Source organism: Homo sapiens, chromosome 12 (genome assembly GCF_000001405.40).
Source record: "Homo sapiens chromosome 12, GRCh38.p14 Primary Assembly".
In the NCBI taxonomy this organism is placed as follows: Eukaryota; Metazoa; Chordata; class Mammalia; order Primates; family Hominidae; genus Homo; species Homo sapiens.
In genome coordinates this window covers 44,206,244-44,227,422 of record NC_000012.12, presented here as the reverse complement: position 1 = coordinate 44,227,422, position 21,179 = coordinate 44,206,244, and the positions used below count along the sequence as shown (strand labels likewise).

General features: G+C 36.7%; 1 protein-coding gene across 10 annotated transcripts in view; it reads right to left on the bottom strand.

Annotated features, from left to right (window-relative positions):
• TMEM117 (transmembrane protein 117) overlaps positions 1-21,179 on the bottom strand; it is a 603,307-nt gene that overhangs the window by 171,686 nt on the left and 410,442 nt on the right. For all 10 annotated transcript variants that reach the window (XM_047429662.1, XM_047429665.1, NM_032256.3 and 7 more), the window contains one exon: positions 16,036-16,133. In XM_047429662.1, coding sequence (XP_047285618.1) covers positions 16,036-16,133 — 98 coding nt within the window. The remainder of the gene's footprint in view (positions 1-16,035; positions 16,134-21,179) is intronic.

Here is a 21,179-nt window from a genome sequence, read left to right as displayed (position 1 = left end):
GAGTGCAGTGGCATGATTTCAGCCTCAACCTCCAAGGCTCAAGTGATCTGCTCACCTCAGCCTCCCAAGTAGTTGGGACTACAGGTACATGCCACCATGCCTGGCTAATTTCTGTAGAGATGGGGTTTTGCCATGTTGTCCAGGCTGGTCTCAAACTCCTGAGCACAAGCAATCTGCCTGCCTTGGACTCCCAAAGCAGGGTGAATCTTTTCTTTCATGACTGCAAATAATAAAGTTCCCAGGGTCATGTTTTTGCAAATCAAGTTACTGCTATGACCCTGTAATGCAAATAGTGAATATGTGGGAATTAAAGCATAACAAGTCCAATCCTAAGCCATGTCTTGAGCCAAAGGCATGCAGGTCCTAGAAATTGCCTTTGTGAAAATCCATGAAATGAAGTTGTGCTTGTATTTCTTGACTCCTTATTTAAAAAAAAAATTGGTTGCTTTGGCGATTGGGATTAATTGGGCCAATTTTTATTGTATTTATATTACACATGTATATGAGCCTGCTAGGGCTGCTCTAACAAAGTACCACAGACTAGATGCCTAAACAACAGATCTTTATTTTCTCTCCATTCCAGGGGCTAGAAGCCTCAAATCAAGGTGTTGGCAGGGTTGGCTTCTTCTGAGGCCTCTCTCCCTGGCTTATAGATGGCTGTCTTTGCCCTGTGTCTTCACATAATCTACACTCTGTGTGTGTCTGTATCCTAATTTCACCTTCTTATACGGACACCAGTCATATCAGACTAGGGCCCACTCTAATGGCTTCATTTTACCTTATCACCTCTTTGAAGTCCCAACCTCCAAATACAGTTACATTCTGAGGCATTAGGACTTCAACATGTGAATTTGGGGGATATAAATTCAGCCCATAACAACATGTATATTATATGTGTACACACACACACACACACACACATATATATATTTATATTTATAGTTTATTGGGATATAAATGAGGTAAACTCTCCCTACTTCAGGATAGATGAGAAGCTATGATACTGAACCCAGAGGTCTAATGGTTATTATACCTTATTTAAAAGAAATAATTAATTCTATCACCATGCTATTTCAAGGGCATTTCTGGTGACCTTTATCTCTGCCCCAGTGATCCCATTCTTATCCAGAGAGATGACTTCTCAGTCAATAACCACTTACATGGAAAAGATGGCCATGAGACCTGAACAGATTGTGAAACAGGTGCAAGAAGAAAAATTTCTAAATAAATAGTGGTAGCAATTCTGCCTGGTTCTCTAAGAAATCATGGTGGTTCCCCCAAAGGGGGAAAATGTTTTCCTCAGGAGCTGTATTAATTTTTGCTATTTATTTTATTAAACAGTTAGAGCGCCATGTAAATGTAGAGTCTATAAGCTGCATGATGGGGCGAAATGAACATGTGTATGGGTGTTTAAAACTGTTTTTGCGACGTTAGTCAGATAAATTGAGTTTCTTCCTCATACAACAGTGATTGTAACATCTATCTCACAGGGCTGTTACAAGTTAAGTGTGAGTATATATTTAAGGCACCAGTCTTAGTAGAGAGTCTCAGAGATGTTAGTACCCTTCCTTCTCCAAACCCAGTCCAGTAACTTTAATCCACTGTGGACACAAATTTGTTAAATAATACTTCCATAGTGCAGAAAATCATGGACAGCTTAACTGGAATCTGCTACAGCGAGGACGGATTTATAAGAAGCAATGATGCTAAGTGTCCAATTCATTAACCTCAGAGACCTGCAGTTGGCATTACCATATTTTACATTAAAAAATATACTGTGGTAAAGTCACTGATTAAGATGTTTATATACTAAAATTGTTTAATGGGAAAAATGATAAAAGTATCTTCATATAATGTAGGTGTGAAATTAGAATTCAGATTATATGATTCTATATGTAATCATCTTATGCTAAAAGGAAAAAAATCCGTTCATTTATTCATAGAGAAAAAAACATACTAAATTGCCTTTGATAGTTTCAACCTTGGCAACATGCTGTTCTTTTAATTCCAGAAACTGTATCACTGCACTATTTTTGCAATGCAACTGCGGTAATTCAGATGTATGCCAAGTACATTTTAATGTAGTTTCATGGCAGTTTCTTGGCTCATCATTTCCTCTCTGTGATACTCAAATTTCATTTCATTAAGCACTATGTTACTTCATGGTATATTACAAGAGAATCCCAGCCAACTATATTTTAGAAGTGTGAGGGGAAACCTAAAAGTTGTATGTTCTTTCTCAACTGAATAAAGTATACTAAGTATTTTTCTTTGACATATAGTCTTTGTTCCTTTCTTTACCCCAAATTGCCACTCTAACATGAAGACACATAAAAATACTGTATCAAGAAAATGCAGCATTCAGTGATTCTCATCAAGACTGCAAGTATGAATAAATCATGCATATCTACAGGCACTGAGCTCAGCATTCTCATTCCTTATGGAAGGGGAAAAGGGCAGATGCTGCATAGAAGCCTGGAGTTACTGTGGTCTCTCTACCCCAGGCTTTCCAGACGCGGCTTTGGGGAGGTTGGGAAGAGAGCTGAGGAAGACTGAAATGAATGGGCTTGGGGAGAGCAAAATTATGGTGATTTTTTTAAATTACCAGTTTACCATACAATGACACCTGCACTCACTGATTTCTTATAGCAAAATCTCATTGCCTCTGGGGTAGTTTATTTACTAAAAGGGTATTCAAAAGCAAAACCTGCTTTACAGATCAAGCGATTGGGGGACCACACTTACATGGCGATAGAGTTTCAGAGACAAAAAATAAGCTCCCAGTGACTTTCACATCCTGCTTCACATGCTTTCCAATACTTGGCATTTTGCCAAAGGTAATTTCCTTTTATATTAACATGAAGGAGGAGGAGGAGGAGGAAGAGAAGGAGGAGAAGGAGGAGAAGGAGAAGAAGAAGACAAAGAAAGCAAAGAAAAACTAAAAAAAAAAAATCATTACTCATCCCTGGTTCCCCTTTGTGCTAGAGTTGGCACAGATGAAGGATGTAGAGAAGAGTCATCAATGAATCTGCAGATTAAGTATAGATGGGACAAAAAGGTCTAATTTAAAGAACTTGTATATTTTGGGTTCTTGGGCAGATTAACAAATAAAATCTCTAACGCCTAATATTGATACAAAGATGTATAGATAAAAGATGGTCTTGCATGGGCTAATACTAAAACTGTAGTGAATCAAGGCTTATAATCAATCCAATATATGTTTGTATGTGCATGCTTGGGTGTGTGCATATATGAGGTTGTGCATGTGTGTGTGTGGGTGTGTGTAAGAGAATCAAGGCAGAGACAGGTAAACATGGGATGAGAATGAAGTTAAAGGTCTTTTCTTCATATTAGAAGGGAAGCTATAAGGGCTAGGACATGGTGGGGAAGAATGTTTACCAAAAAAGGAGAGTACAGTAAAAGCCCACACAGAGTTAATAAAATATGGAAGCGCAGTAGATTGACAGCCAGGATGATGGATCACATCCCAGAAATTCTTTATCTTCTGGAAGGGCCAAGCCAATTGGCAGAACGAGGCAAACAATTATACTTTTCAGAAGCTTCTCTTGGCAGCTTTGGTATTTTTGCTTATCATTGACCTGAATTTCTGTTTTTTGCATTGGTTTGCTTTAGGACCTCACAAGTCAGCCTGTATAAGCTCTGGTTGGCTGAGTTAGTTAACTGAGGTGAAACTCCAATCTGAATAGCAGGAAACAGGACCCTAAAACTTGGAAAAACTCATAGTTTATATAGAAGAGGGTGCTTTGGTTTAAAATGTGAGCAGCCTATTCTTAGGAGCAAAGGAAGTGCCAATTTGGAGAAAAGCAGAACACTCTTAATAGCCTTTGTTTTGAAACCATGTGTACAAAATAAGTAAATTTCTACTTTGGGGGTAAGAAAGAGACTCCATCAAATAGTCATACAAACTGAGGGATCTAGTTCCAAATGATGATCTAGGTAGAAGCCACCATGAAGGGAGAAGGTCTGGTATGGGGGTTGAGTAAGGTCTGGGGGGTTGAGTAAGGTCTGGTATGGGGGAAAGGCTCAAGTCATCTACAGAAACACTGGGATGATAATGCTGAAAAAGGAGAACTTCGTGTAAAGAAATTCATATGGAATGGCCCAAGAACTGAGGACTGAAAAGAAAGGTTAAAAAAAAAAAATCTTTCCCTTCTATTCATCTATGTGTTCACACACTGGGGCATTTTGCAGGGTGGAGGGTAGGAAGAGGGAGAGATCAGGAAAAACAACTAATGGATACTAGGCTTAATACCTAGGTGACTGAAATAATCTGTACAACAAACCCCATGACACAAATTTACCTATGTAACAAACCTGCACTTGTACCCCTCAACTTAAAATAAAAGTTAAAAGAAGAAGACTAGCACTAAAAAAAAAAAAAAAGGAAAAGTTTTTGAATTCTTGGTTTATGACTTTTTTATCAGGGTTCACACTTACTATTAAATAGTTTCAACACCTTCCTGGATCTATAACCACCAAAACATGTGATTTAGAGAATGTAGCATTCTGGAAAGATTTATATTGCTAGAAAGCCTAGTTTGTGGCATTATAGCACTACTTGCTATAGAGATGTAATGGGGATTCTGTTTTGGAACTATTAAGCCAATACATTATTCCTTGGTAGTTCCTAATTTCTAACATCTCAGAGCTACTATATCAAGAGGCCTGACTGACCTGACCACAGAGGTGGAGAGAATAGGCAGGATGGACACAATGTAAAAGAAACTCCTGCCCATGAAAATGGAGGAAATCTTCCCTTCCACCTAGAGGCAGCAAAAGAGGGATAGAAGAGTGAGAAAGCCAGACAGCAAGGATCTTATTCCCCTATACCACCAGCATCTACTTTAAGGAGGGAGTGGTGATATGTAGAAGTGACAAGATTCACATGAAGGCACTCAAGGTGCATCAGGGCTTCTCTGACTGTAGCCCAAGGGAGATGGCAGGTCTTTCCTATAAAAGAATGATTATCACAGTCTAGGGCATTTGTAAATGGATATAGGTAGGCACAGGAGACTGAGAAAGCTCTGGATGCCCTCCTTTTCTCTCTGCCAATGCCACAAAGTCCTGCAGATGACCCAGAAGTTCCTGCATTCACTAAGAGGATGCAAAGGTGATGAGAAGACTGCAAAGGCCTGGATTCAAAGACCCTTTAGGTCCCAGCAGTCCAAGACTAAGTCCCTGGACTGTGGGGACCTGAAGGGAGGGGTAGGTGAGTGGAATTCATGACCAGAGACACAAGGCTAGGAATTAAAAGATCAAACAGGAAGCTGGACTTCAACCATCACTGTCCATGAGTAAGGCTAAATGAACAGTTGAGACCATCAAAGATACACAGACTTCCCCTCCTCCATCATTATAAAGTAAGGTAAAGAAGTCAAGAAGATGGAGTGAAAGAGGGAGATCAGCCAGGCATGGTGGCTCACACCTGTAATCCCAACACTTTGGGAGGCTAAGGCGGGCGGATTACCTGAGGTCAGGAGTTCGAGACCAGCCTGGCCAACATGGTGAAATCCCGTCTCTACTAAAAATACAAAAATTAGCTGGGCGTGGTGGCACATGCCTGTAATCGCAGCTACTCGGGAGGCTGAGGTAGGAGAATTGCTTGAGCCTGGGAGATGGAGGTTGCAGTGAGCCGCGATCATGCCACTGTACTCCAGCCTGGTTGACAGAGTGAGACTCTGTCTCAAAAAAAAAAGAAAGAGGGAGATCTAAAAAACTAAACATTTATTCAAAATAGACTTAACCAAATAAGACTGAGTTCTCTGAAAGATACCATTTAGACAAAAGTTTCACAGATATCATTAATTACTAATTTAAAATTTTGTGATGAACCCCTATATCCCACATTATAGCAGCTAGGTGGATGCTCATGAGGAAGACATGATCAACTACAGATCACAAATTTATTCTAACTTTTTGCACATTTGATTTATCCCTATACTGAATGATATCAGTAAAGAAATAGTCCATAGTTAGAAGCTTATGCTAGGGCACACACACTGGCTATAAGAGAGTGGTTGCTACAGCCTTGAGGTTTATGCATAAGTAGGCAACAACAAAATCTTCTGCTATAAACAACTGAACATTAATGAATAATTTGGGAGAAGCCCCCTTAGATGGCCTTCTCTTTTATCTTTCTATTCTAACTAGGATACAGTATTTTAAAAATTGGGCCCAAATAGATATAAAATATTTATAATGGTACAGCATTTTTATGGTACAGATGTATAACCTACATTCTATCAACATGACTTATCACTGATAACTTTAAGTTTCATCACAAGGTCAAGGTAATGTTTGTCAGATTTCTCTACTGTAAAGCTACTTTCCGCCACTTTCCACAGTCTATTCTTTGGAAGCAAGTCACAAAGTTCAGTTCATACTCAAGGGGTGGGGAGTTAAGCTTCACCATCTTGAGGACAGGAATATCTACATAAATTATGTAAATTCTTCTGTACAGGAGATTTGTCTCTTCTTTCCAATTTACTTATTTATTTAATCATTTTTATCTAAGTATGAACTCATGAGTACTTGATAGTTTGGGTTATAATCTAATACTATGTAATTCATTTTGTTGACCAAATTTCTCTAGCTTTGGCCATTGAGACTTCTTTTGGGTTGACTCTTGCATCCCTTTGAAATGCTCCATCATTCTGTTTTTTGAACACTTCCTTACTTTCTGGCATGACACGATGCTGCAGGATCATCTTCTATATTCTCTACCCCAGATTTAGAATCAGTCATTTCTCCAAAGAGCCCTGGTTCCTTTTATTGGAGAATGATGTCAGAGACCAAGATCTGGGTAGGGGGTGTGCTTATTACCACTGAGGTATTATTCTATCTAAGCTCTCTCAGCAGATAGAGTGAGCTATATACAAACATAGCTACAATTATCCCTGTAACTATCCATCTTTCTATGTTAGAATGAGCTATATACAAACATAGCTAAAATTATCCTTGTAACTATCCATCTTTCTATGTATTAAGCTAAACATGAATTCATACTGATGTCTCTGTCTCTAATCCAGTACCACATTGTTGATTATAGTTTGTCCCCAACCCCTTGCTTCTCTGTTAACTTCAGTCTTTGACAGTGAGAAATCTGGATTCTGTCATCTACCATTCATTTACTCATCAATCAATTCTAGCAAACATGTAAAGCAAGCTCAGAGTTGTTAACTGGTAACCCCATGAGAAATAACTCTACCAACTAGAATACAGTTGTGCATGTCTAGTTCCCTTCATATTAATTCTTAAAATTCCCAGTCAACACACTGTTTTCTAAAGATACCTACATTAGTATCTTTTTTTCTCCACCTCCCATGTCATTAAATATCTTTCCAAAGATAGTGAAAAGATAGTGGCTAGATTGTGTTCTATGGAATGAGCATGCTAAAACTAATTTAACATTTTCTTAGGATGTTACTTTGAGTTGTTTTAATCATTATACTGAAGACTTCATGTTTGTCTGAACACATAGATGACCTTAGACAAGGAAATAGACTACCCAGAATTATATTATTTTAGAATGCAAAGAACTTTAGATACCAACTGTTCTTGCAACCAATGCTGGAATGTTATCTCCCTAGTAGATGCTTTTGGCAGGAACAATGAACTCATTATTTTCCAAGGAGTACAGTTATTATTTGAGTAGCTATAATGTGTAGTATCTTATTACTTCTAGTGTCCCCAATAAAATGCTGGGCTTTTGTTGTGCTTAATATAGCCAACATTTAGGACATCAACTATAGTATTTAATTTCAACCTTGCAAATATGTTTTAAAGAAATTAAGCCCCTGAAAACCCTGAAGATAAACAAAATAAAAATAACAGCAACTGGCTTTTTATATGTGAAATTAAGTGAAGTTTCTGGTAATACATCATGTTTTACTGGCAAATTGAACTATATACTGTACATCTTTTTCTTGCTTAACCTCCATAATTGAGAGAAAATGATATACAATTATATCAAGTTAAACTACACAGAATGTTCTGATTGTTACTACTGACTTAAAAGAGTTGTTATCTCAATATATCTAATCATCAGCAAATTCTTTTAGTTTCAATTTTATTGACTCTTTCATACAAACAACAACAACAAAGAATATAGGGAGTTAATGTGAAATAGTCAAAAGTCTGCTAGACCAGGAATCAGTAGTCCTGGGTGCTCACTGCCACAGAAACATTAATTTTGTGCTTAGACAAGTAACTTATTTTTGTTTCAATTTCTTTGTCAATAATAAAAGGGTAATAGAACATAAGTAGATAAACTCCAAGGGTTTCCTGGATATTTTGTCTTCCTTTACATAACCCAAATTCATTTGCAAGGAGAAAGAAAGGGTTATAGTAAATACATTTGTTGAAAATATGATTAATCATTTTTAAATATGTTAAATATCTTAAAATCTTAGAATAACTGTCGCCATACAGTGCAGTACTGTGCAAGCTCTGCCCACACTGGATTCCCAGGTTCACTAGCTATGCAACTTAAACAGCAGATTTTTGTCTTTAAAATACAGCTAATAATGATAATTACCATGAAGAGTGGCAGTGTGGATTAAAGGAAACAACGAATGTGAAAAGCCCAGTACCAGGAATACAGGAAGCACTGAATGATAGTTGCCCTAGAATAGAATTATAAGGAGATTATAAGGAGACTTCACTACAGAGGTAATGACTGATAGGTAATATGTCTCATATGTCTGATAGGTTAAATGTCTTTCTATGTCTGGGTGCAACAATTTGGACTTGTTTGTTTCCCTTTTCTTGCCTAATTGCTCTAAGACTTCTAGTACTATGTTGAAAAGAAGTGGGGGAGAGTGAGCAACCTTGGCATGTTCAGAGGAGAAGCTTTCGGGTTTTACCACTGAGTATGATGTTAGCTGTGGGCTTTTCATGTATGACCTTTATCGTGTTGAGGGTACATTCCTTCTATACCAAGTTTGTAGAGTTTTTATCATGAAAAGATGTTGACTTTTGTCAAATGCTTTTTCTGTACTATTGGGATAACTGTGGTTTTTATTCATTCTGTTACTCTAATGTGGTATAATTACATTGATTGATTTACAGATGTTGAATCACCCTTATATCCCAGAGATAAATCCCACTTGGTCATGGTGCATGATCTTTTTAATGTGCTGTTGAAGTTGGTTTGCTAGTTTTTTGTTTTTTGTTTTTTTTGACGGAGCCTTACTCTGTCACCCAGGCTGGAGTGAAGTGGTGCAATCTCGGCTCACTGCAACCTCTGCCTCCCAGGTTCAAGCAATTCTCCTGCCTCAGCCTCCTGAGTAGATGGGATTACAGGCATGTGCCACCACGTCCAGCCAATTTTTGTATTTTTAGTAGAGATGGGGTTTCACCATGTTGGTCAGTCTAGTCTCGAACTCCTGAACTCAAGAGATCTGCCCACCTCGTCCTCCCAAAGTGCTGGGATTACAGGCATGAGCCACCGCACCCCAGCCTGGTTTGCTAGTATTTTTAAGCAATTGTTGCAACTCTGTTCATCAGGGTGTATGTTTCTTGTTCCATATTACATTCCCAGAAGGACTAACACAATTGAAAGATATCAATATGAACAAATATATAAATAAGGTAAGCATGTATTTTTCTCTGACTTAATAGCAAAGCTTTGTCCAGCTTACACATAGAGACATTGGTTCCTCTTTGGTTTCTGGAATACGAGTCACTCATATGCCCAGCCATTATAATCAGGTTTTATTTAACTTTTGTGAGAACTAATTCAGAGACTGACTCATCTGACCTGTGACACCTGCCTATAGATTCTACCTCTAGTTTGTCAGAAAACTTCCTTGGTGCAAAAACAAACATCAAAGCATTTCAACCGTCAATATATTTAATGCATTTATCCCTTATTCTAAAGAAAGAAGGCACACACAAAGGGAGCTCTGGACAGCAGGGGAAATGAAGAAAAAAGATATTTTGAAAACAAGAGCTGGCACTATGTAACCAGCAGTGCTGAGGGGAATTCACGCTGGATCTGGGCAATGGTAGCAGCCTAATCCCAGAAAGAGACTGCTCATCAATGGGGACTGTCACAGGTCTCAACTTGTCTCAGATGAACCCTCACCTGCACTCTCCACATCCCTTAGTTTTGAACCATGGCTCATAAAACAAATAATAATTCACTTTCACTTAATAATGGCAAATGAGTTGCTCTGTAGAGGACGTCAAACTACTAGTTACTAATACTATTACCAAAACTCTTCTGCCTGACATTTCCCCTGATTCTTAGGTCTTTTTATTACCTTATTGTATTTTTATGATTATTATGTTACTCTCCATACCATATTTAATGTATATTAAGATAATAATCATTTGTTGATTAACTCTTCTCTGGTCAGAGGTAAACAACTAAGTTCCTTTTGTTAAACTTTAATAACTATGATATTCAAAGCAGGAAAAATATCAGCTGCTACATTTGCTTCCCAGTTAAGAATTAAGATAATTATGATTAAGAGATACCCCATCCACACCATTACACTGGTAGAGAAAGTACTTTAAAAAATATACAACATTGCACATCCAAAAGAGAAAACATAAAATTTAATCCTATGGATTTCCATAGGATTTTATGTTCCAGGATGGAACAGAGTACACAACTGCTGTACACAGATACACACAGCAACACACTATGAACATTTTGCTTTCCAACTTCTCCTGGAGCTTCCAAGTCATCACAGACCACAGTTTTTACCAACTGCTTTGCCACTATAATACTCAAATACTATAACACTTGCCACTATAATACTCAGTAATACTCAGATTACCATCTTTCCAGTTTCCAGCATCAATTTCCTTGCCATTTGCTGCCCATCCCTTAATACACAAATTTCAGCTTTCCGTTATGGCAGCGCCCCATTTCTAGGGATGACTTTTTGTAAACATCAGAATGGGTTATTTTAGGCTACAGTATCAAACAGTCCTTAAATCTCAGTGGATTATTTCTCACTCAAACTACAAGTCTGCAGTGTTATCAAGGATGCTTGTTTTATCCTGGTCATTCAGGGAATCCAAATGACAAGGGCTCCAGCTAGACACAGGCTTCCACAATTGCAACTGAAAAGAGAGCTCCTTTTGGCTGAGAGTGGTGGCTCATGCCTGTAATCCCAGAATTTTGTGAGGCCAAGGCGGGCAGATCGCGAGGTCAGGGGTTCAAGACCAGCCTGACCAACATGGTGAAACTCCCTCTCTTCTAAAAATACAAAAATTAGCCGGGTGTGGTGGTGCATGCCTGTAATCCCAGCTACTCAGGAGTCTGAGGCAGGAGAATCTCTTGCACCCAGGAGGCACAAGTTGCAGTGAGCCAAGATTGGGCCACTGTACTCCAGCCTGGGTGACAGAGCAAGAAACCGTCTCAAAAAAAAAAAAAAAAAAAAGAAAGAAAGAAAGAAAGAAAGGAGCTCCTTTCAGTGCATCTCATTGAATATTAAATATTTCCACCTAGATATGGCACATGCCAATTTTATTCACATTTGCCTTGATCAAGGCAAGTCATGTAATCAGAGGGGGGAGAAAGGTGAAATCCTCTTACGTGTCTGGAAGGTGAAGACCTGGAGTATTTGTGAAGCCCTAATGAGCACTAGATCTCCCAATCCCTTCTTCCACCAATTCCTCTACTAATCATAGAAGTCTATTTTGTCTTTTTTTTTTTTAAAAAAAGCTAAGGCTTTGGGAAATATCATCCTAAAATTCTTCCCTTCAAAAGCATACAAATTGTTTCTCTAGAGAGTACACAAATCAGGGGGATAGAAGCTAACATGAATATCATATTACTTGTTCTTTATGTAGCTGTTCTTTTACCTCAGACACAAGTCAGTGAAAATGGTTGTTGGTAACGCCTCTGAAAAATAGAAGAGCATAAGGCATTCATATAGCATTTAGATTCTTAGATCTTTACTCTTTTTCATTATCAAAAGGACTACGGAAAGGGCTTTGGAAGAGATCTATACATATTCCTCCCTTTCCGCCTTTCAAATATTGCCACTATTTAGGCTCCCTTGCAATATGAAAGCCCAGGTGCTACAGCAGCCTCATCTTTGCACAACTGCAGAAAGAAATAGGAACCATTTTCTTCAACGTAGAGACACCTATCACTGAAAATTAAGGAAGAACTCAGTTTCTGACAGGTGTTTGTGAGTTAAAGCAGCTACAAGTAGGTAAGAGATATGTTTACTAGAACAAAATTACATGTTGTGCTGCTCAAACTGCTGTGCATAGTCACATTGCAACTTAAGAAAGATTTCCTTTGCAAAATTTTTTCTCCACCATACATTTTTTTTCACACTAATCGCTCTTTCCTTAACTAAAGCAAAATCAAAAGAAAATACCCATTTTTGAGTGGGTGACATAAAGTATGTAAATACTGTCTTTTATTTAATCTAAAACCTTGCCAATGAGTTTTGTATTTTATCTCCTAGGGCTAAAAGAACAAAACCAAACCAAACCCCAAATGCCCTTTTTACTTGCTAAATCCCTTTTATGCGAAAAGTATGAATAAAAAGGAAGATTTCTTTACTTCCCACATAATTTCTATATTCAACTTTTTCCATCAGCTTTTCCTTTTTTACAACCATGAATACCATTGTCAAGATAATCTAAATGTATAGAAATGGATAAAATGGAAAAAAATTTTAAAGTGGCATTTAAATTGTTCTTCAGTTACTTTATGCAATGATTTGAAATACTACTTTTGAAATATAACAGTGAAAACAATCTCTCTAATATATTGCCTAATTATTAATAATTTTACAGAAAGAATAACTACAAAAAAGTGTGAATTTTAGTTGCTCTCTATTTAAGAATATTATCTACTTGCCAGTGACTAATTAAATTATCATTTTTACAACATTTAAACTACGTTTTAGAATACCCACTGGGCTATGTTATCACATATGTTAAAAATAAACCCATTTGAGGCCGGGTGTGGTGGCTCACACCTGTAATCCCAGCGCTTTGGGAGCCCAAGGTGGGTGGATCATCTGTGGTCAGGAGTTTGAGACCAGCCTGGCCAACATGGCAAAACCCTGTCTCTGCTAAAAATACAAAAACAAAAAACAACAACAAAAAAAACTAGCTGGGCGTGGTGGTACGTGCCTGTAATCCCAGCTACTCTGGAGGCTGAGGCAGGAGAATCACTAGGACCTGGGAGGCAGAGGCTGCAGTGAGCCGAGACTGTGCCACGCACTCCAGCCTGGGCTACAGAGTGAGATTCTGTCTTAAAAAAAAAAAAAAAAAAAAAAAAAATTAAAAAAAAAATTTGTAAGACATTGGTGATATATAGACCTGAGTGATAATGTTCAAAGAAAAAATCATATTAATGGATTTCTCTCCTCTGAAACAGCAATCATGATTAAGAACAGCTAATGACAACAATCATAGGGGCCTATAGAATACATGGCTTACCCTTGCAAATAGTATACATGTGACCTTGGTAACTAGCAGAGAACAGTCATCAATCAGCTACCTTTGAAGATACATGTATTACTCCATTCTCATGCTGCTGTGAAGAAATACCCAAGAACGGGTAATTTATAAAGAAAAGAGGTTTAAATGACCCACCATTCCGCATGGCTGGGAAGGCGTCAGAAAACTTACAATCACAGCTGAAGGGGAAGCAAACACGTCCTTCTTCACATGGCAGCAGGAGAGAGAAGTGCCAAACAAACGTGGAAAAGCCCCTTATAAAACCATCAGATCTCTTGAGACCTCACTATCACGTGAACAGCAAGGGGGTGACCGCCCCCATGATTCAATTACCTCCCACTGGGTCCCTCCCACGACAAGTGGGGATTATGGGAACTACAATTCAAGATGAGATTTGGGTGGGGACATAGAGTGAGACCGTATCAGTACACTAATAAGAAACATGTGTAAACATAGTAAATAAATATTGTTTTAAGAGAGACCATCCATAAACACATTTGATATTAGTTTACCTCCTTTCAAATTCTGACTTTTAAAACCCATGTGGGGAATTTTGTAGGGAAGAGGGCTCCCAAGAACTGTATGTTCTTCTTTAGCACCCTACCTAAACAAGAATGAACATTAATCATTTGGAAATTTGCACACTGATGTATCTTTTGTTCTCCTAGAGGCAGTCCTAGTGTAATAATTACAAACTAGGGCTCTGGAGTCAGAGAACTATGCCTATAACAATAGCACCTATCTTATGGGATTGTCATGATTAAATAAATAAAGATATAGGATGTAAAGTCTTTGGCCTGCTGCCTCAAGCAAAACATACTATCAATAAATATTTCTTATAATCATTAAATTATATATTATTCAGAAAAGCTATATGGGAAGTTTACAAATAGGAAAAAAGATGGAGGTTAAATAGTACCATAGGCCACATGTGACCCATGAAGATGAGGTGTGAATACACAGCTAAAAAATCATATTCATTTTCATAACAGTATTGAAAATCCACTTTTGTTTACCTGTTAAGAATTGAGTTCAACATGTCCTATATCTCCAGCAACATTTAATGATAGTACTAAAGCACAAAAGATAACATAGAGTGTATATTTTCCTCAAGTACTTAGTTACTATGATTTTTGAAGCTTTTGCATTAAAAAAAAAATCAACCGCCAGAATTAAATCCAAGAATAAACAGATTTTTTTCTCTTTTGTTTCAAAAGGCAGGTATACAGGATAATATACATCAGAGCCAGCTATAATCAATTACAGTAGTCCCCCTTATCTGGTGGGCGTACATTCCAAGACCCCCAGTGGATACTTGAAGTCCTGGATAGTATTAAACCCTATATATCCTATGCACAAACATTTTTCCTTCTTTACAATTGCAGGGACAGAAGATCCATTCTTACCATATTTCTCAGCATACGATATGTTAACCTCAGTGTATGATCTTTTTTCTTTCCTTATTAAGTAGAGAACTTTCACCTTTTCACTTAAAGGAAGCCATATCACTTCTCTTTGGCTTAACCCAAATTGCCAGCATCAATACTCTTGTGCTTTGGGGCCATCATTAACTAAAATAAGGATCACTTGGACACAGCACTGCAATACCTTAACAATAGATCTGATAAGTGAGATAGCTACTAAGTAACTAAAGGGCAGGTAGCATCGACAGCATGGATAGACGCTAGACAAAGAGACGATTGATCTCCCGGGAGGGTATGAGGCTTCATCACACTACTCAGAACAGCACACAATTTAAAATGTATGTATGGTTTATTTCTGGAACATTCCATTTAATATTTTCAGACTGCAGTCGACCAAGGGTAACTGAAACCAGGGAAAGCAAAACCATAGATAAGGGGGAAATACTGTAGAACATTTATAAGTGTTAGTTTACATAACTTTTCTTGGGATTATATAATTATTCAACTGTATATTATATCACACAGAATCATTGTGCTTGGGGAGTGTCCCACAGCCACGTGAAAGTGCCCTTCTTGCTGCCTCTCCATTCCTATCTTTTCTGTTTGAACTTGTTCACGTACACATAAATAATGGTGACTTCACAAAAAACAAAGTTCCATAAGACATGGATTGTTTTTTAATTGCAAAGATTGGGCTGGAGAGCTAAACGAAACTACATAAAGAAGAAATGCCAATGTAGAAGATGTGATTTATAAAGAGGTTCCTTTTCTTTATCACTTCTCAGAGCAAAATCATATCCTGTCAAATATACTAGGCAATTTAGTATTTATAGGAGACAGTTTCATCTATCAGATTTTACTGATGAAAATTACAGCTTGTTTTTGCTGAGTCAAGAACTTACCTCTGGTCAAATCTTAATTCTATCACTATATTAGCAAAACTTCTGTTTTATAAATGTGAATATACACAATATGTAAGAAGAAATTAATTCATAAAATAATTAGGATAATGGTTTTAATGGAGCATAGTAGCTACCAAAAATGTCCCTCTAGATAGAATTCTATAATTGTAAGGAAAATTACATCCAACTAAAGTCCTTCAGTGAATGAGGCAAGGCAGAAATAAATAAGTGAAACAATTTCCTACCAGAATAAAGTGATCCTAACATTTCCTTTCTTCCAGAAAGCTCTTGCTGATTTTCCCCAGTCAGGATAGGGTTTGTCCTGAAGCATCATATCAGTGACCTGAAGCAATGAAAGGAACTTATTCAGCACTTTCAGAAATCTTAAAATCAGATTTAACTATAAGCCTATAATTTACATTCTATTGAGAACAGAATAAGTATACGTTTTAACATTATAACATATGCAGAAACAAAAATTAGGATATACTTCATTCAATTAAAAACTTTAATAGTTTCTTCGACTGTACATACAGAATGAGCACATTTAAAGTCATTCAACATGTCAGATATTAAGAATTTTTTAAATATTAAGATTACCGGATATAAGACAGTACCATAGAAACAAAGCATATGTAACAAATAAAATACTATATTCTTTTAAAGTTTGTCTAAATCCAAAACTCAAGCATTCCCTGATGTCTAGATTTTTAGCGATATCATTAATCAAAATATTATCTTCTCTTTTCCTCTTCCTTACTTCTTCCAGCTATATGTGTGGTAAAGTACTCGTACCCAGTTCTACAGCATATTTATTCTAATTAGCTAGCATTCTCTCACCCACAATTCTGTGCCTTCATCTAAAAATGTTCTTCCTCTTTTCCTCACCTGCACAGATTCTGCCCATCTTCCGAGGCCTAAGTCATATTACTATTGTGATGTCTTCACTGTTCTCTCCCACTTATAGAAAACTTGTGGTTCTTGACCCATCCTTCTCATGTCATGTATCACCTTCTACCTTCTCTTTTACTTACTTATATGCTTTTTTCTCTCTTCACTAGGCTTTGAAATCCTTGCCAGTGAAGATCTTTCTACCTCTTCTAAGAATGTCAAAGGGATTTTTATATACTAGACCAAAATATTTGTTCAAGAAGAAATGATAAAATAAATTAAGATATAAATGCCTGTTTTTAAAGATCCATTAACAAAGTACATTTCTCATCTACCACATCACATATTAATGGTTTCAGCAGAAGCCCAAAGTATTATAAATAGTTAATCTATTAGAAAGGTATTTTAAAAATCCAATGAGGATGGAGAATAAATTTCCTTTAAAAAAGTGTTACATAAATGTGTGTGTATGTTATACACATGCACATTTTTTCCACTCCCAGAAAATCTGCCTTCCCTTCAAGAGAAGAGAACACCATTCCATTACTTATGATTTTAATTAATAATGTTCAAATCCAGACAAGACAGATTCAAAATTATGAAAACAGAAACGAAATGAGGTTTACTGCATTGAGTAAGAGAGAATTTTCGTCATCCACTAAAATAAATTTTTCTCTTGTGCTTAAAGCTTTATCATTGCATTTGAGTATAGCTTTGAACAGTGGCCTTGAAATGGGTGAAATTTAATCATTTATGATGAAAGATTGTGATTCAGTGGGGAGTCCTTTTAGATCAGTGACCCCTTCAATAATACCGGACTTCCTGTGGAAGGCACATCAATTCTCAAGCAGGGTCATCCAAAATGGTCTCTGGAAACATTCACCGGCATGTCAATGCTTCACATGCTCACTTAGGTGACACAATCAGAATGGTGGATAAGGATTCCAGTTTTCAGGAAAGATCTGATTTTAATTCTTCATATTATTTCTCAATGTCATTTCTAGGAATAGAGTTCCCAAGATTCTCTTGGTTGATGAAAACCAAAGTTAGTCCATTCCCCTTCACTGAGTAACACTACAGATTTATGTAGGCTCTATCTAACATAGGGCCTACAATAATTTGTGGCTTCATTGTTGAATCAAAAAAGATTCAACAATCATGCATGGTTTTAATATAAACTTTCAGTTCATTTCTCTTTAAACTGTCAATCACTATATAAATGTGAATGCAACTAATATTAAGAATTCAAAAAGGAAAACACTTTTTGCTTATTTTTAAAGAGAAACTAGTTCATCGATGATTTTTTCAACTGTTTATTTTCTTCTTGATCCTTTTAAATTACAGGATTATATTTTCTCACTCAAACTAATGCCCATGGATTGTATTTTCCATCAAAATGATTCATGATACTTATCAAAAGGAGTAAGGGGAAGATGATAGAATAAAAATTAACCATGAATCAAGTGAATTACATTGTTACTGGAAAAAAAGAATAAAGTTGAAAATAGAGAAATTTAAATCTCACATACTCTTAGGTATAAAAAGAGCTTTATATCGTAACTTCTCTAGAGGAAGAAATTGCTGTTTTTTCCAAATACAACAATTTCAGCCACTGTTCCTTTATAACCTTCTTTAATAACAGGTCTAGTGTCAAATATTTTAACAAAACCTAAAGGTTACATGAATAAATAGGTAAATAAATATTTCTTGTTGCATTAGACTTTTAAAAGATTTAATTAATTCTCTTAGGCAATATTTATCCTGTTCCAGAAAGAATCAACATGGTAATAAATATTTCCAAGGAACAGAATGATTACTGGGTGGGTTTTATTCAATTTTCAATGTTTTCTCCAGGGCACTTTCTGGGAAATACTTATTATATTTTCTAGAAGGAGACAATCTGCTGCTGTATGACCAATTACTACAGCTGCATGTTGTGTAAAAATGACATTCAAGGATAAAGCATTTTCTCAGGAAAATGGTTAGATGAAGCAAAAAAAAAAAAAAAAAAAAAAACATTCTTTCTGATGCCAGGCAGCTGATCTTTGCCACCTCCAGCTCGAACTCTTTATTTTTTAAGTCATATTATCAGATCAATGTCAGGTCACTTGTAGCTAAATTGGCAGAAGCAGAGACAGTCATTAAAGGTATGCATTCCATAAAGAAAAATCCAATTATCTCCTGCATTAGAGAAATCAAATTCATTTCTGGTGTTGGTCAAGGACAGTCTTTGTGGGAAAAGATGCCAGAAAGGGAGACTAAAGACAATGCCATGAGGTTTCTGTGTAGCATAAATACACAAAACCTGTGAATACCTCTCTCACAGGCAGGTATTAGAATTTGAAATTGCAAATCTTTCTATGCTGGGAGAAATGTGCATAACTCTTTGAGTCTCAGAATCCTTCCCTTCCCCTTTCCTCTCTACTAGGTCTCTGTACAGAACTCAGAACCTCATTATGGCACTCACCGCATCATGGCTTGTCAGATAATCTTTTTCAATAGAATATAACTTATTTTAGAATACATATTGTACAATCTGAGCAAAAACATGCATTTTGAGGTTTAAAAGTCAGTAAATGATTGTAAAAAACAATTATCTCTACAGAAATCTAAGTGAAATCTTTGCTTTCCTTTGAGGTGAGCCTATATGATGCCAGGCAACAACAGCATGAAAATAGCAATGATGAGAGTTATACTTCACATTTGCTATACAGCTTCATGGATTACAAAGCTCTTAATGGATTTTTCTTATTAAGAGTCACAGCAACTTTGTAAAGTAAGTCATTATTTTCCACCTTTCAGCAATGGAGGAAGAGAAGTCAATGAAGTTAAATAACAGAGCAAGGTCACACATCTATACCATTATGTGCACTATTTCCAGAGCCAGCCTGCCTGGGTTCTAACCCTAAATATATTTCTTAGTAGGTTTTTTTTTTTTATTTAGGGCAAGGTAATTAACCTCTCTGCACCTTGTTTTCTTATTAATCACCTATGAGCACAAAATATGTATATTAGCAGGTGGTATAATAATTATTGGTGTGTTGTTGTTCGTATCTGAGATTTCTATCCCATCACTTTGCTTCACATCAGTAATACAACACACAAATGAATTTAGAGTCAAAGGATTTGACAATCAATCTTTTCTATAAAGACAAGACTATCATATACTGAACTATTAGAAAATGATAAAGACATAATTTAATGTTGAACTATGATACAGTCTATAATTGCTATTAAAAATCAGAGGAAGGAGGTCACTGAAGGCTGCAGTCGTCTAAGAGGGCTTCATAAAATATTTGTGTGACAAAACTGAGTATTAATTGACATTCTGTATGATTCTCTACTTTTGCCATTCTTATCTTCTTAGCCTGATTACAAGCTAATTCCCACGCAGGTACTACATATACTGTATCTAAAGTCATATTTGATATAGTTGTATGCTAAGCATGTGATATTCATGTAAAATATTGATTTATTAGGGATACAAGACCAAAATAGAAAAATAACTATGGCTATGTAGTGTCACTCTTGAGGTAGCCACTAATTGGTGGAGTATCATTTAAGATAAACAAATGTTATTCTATCAATAAACAAGCATATACATAAAGGATATTAATGAACATAATAGATAAAATTTTATTTGATAGTTTGTCATTTTATTTATTTCTACTTAACAATATACTGACTTCATTCAATATTAGCACATATAAAGCTGTTTAGATAGTTTCTTCTTGCTTTAATTGTCCATCATACCTTTTTAAAAATTTTTTTGACTTTTCAGTTCAGGGAGTACATGTGCAGGTTTGTTGCATGGGTAGATTGTGTGTCACTGGGGTTTGCTGTACAAGTGATTTCATCACTCAGGTAGTGAGCATAGTATCCGATAGGTGGAAGTTTTTGGTCCTCACCCTCCTCTCACCCTCCCCACTCAAGTAGGCCCTTGTGTCTGTTGTTCCCATCATTGTGCCTCCATATATTCAATGTTTAGATGCCACTTATAAGTTAGAATATGCAGTATTTGGTTTTCTGTTCCTTTATTAATTTGCTTAGGATAATAGTCTCTAGCTGCATCCATGTTGCTGCAAAGGACATGATTTCATTATTTTTTATGGCTGCATAGTACTTGATGGTATTTATGTATTACATTTTCTTTATCCAGTCCACCACTGATAGGCATTTAGGTTGATTCCACATCTTGCTATTGTGAATAGTGCTGCAATAAACATCCATGTGCATTTGTCTTTATGGTACAACAATTTATATCCTTTAGGCATATGCCTGCTGGGAACAGGCCCCCAAATCTGGCCATAAACAGGCCATGAGAAACTGGCCATAAACAAGATCTCTGCAGCACTGTGACATGCTCATGATGGTTATGATGCCCACGCTGGAGGTTGTTGGTTTACCGGAATGACGGCAAGGAAAACCTGGCCCACCCAGGGCAGAAAACTGCTCAAGGCATTCCTAAACCACAAACAATAGCATGAGCGAGCTGTGT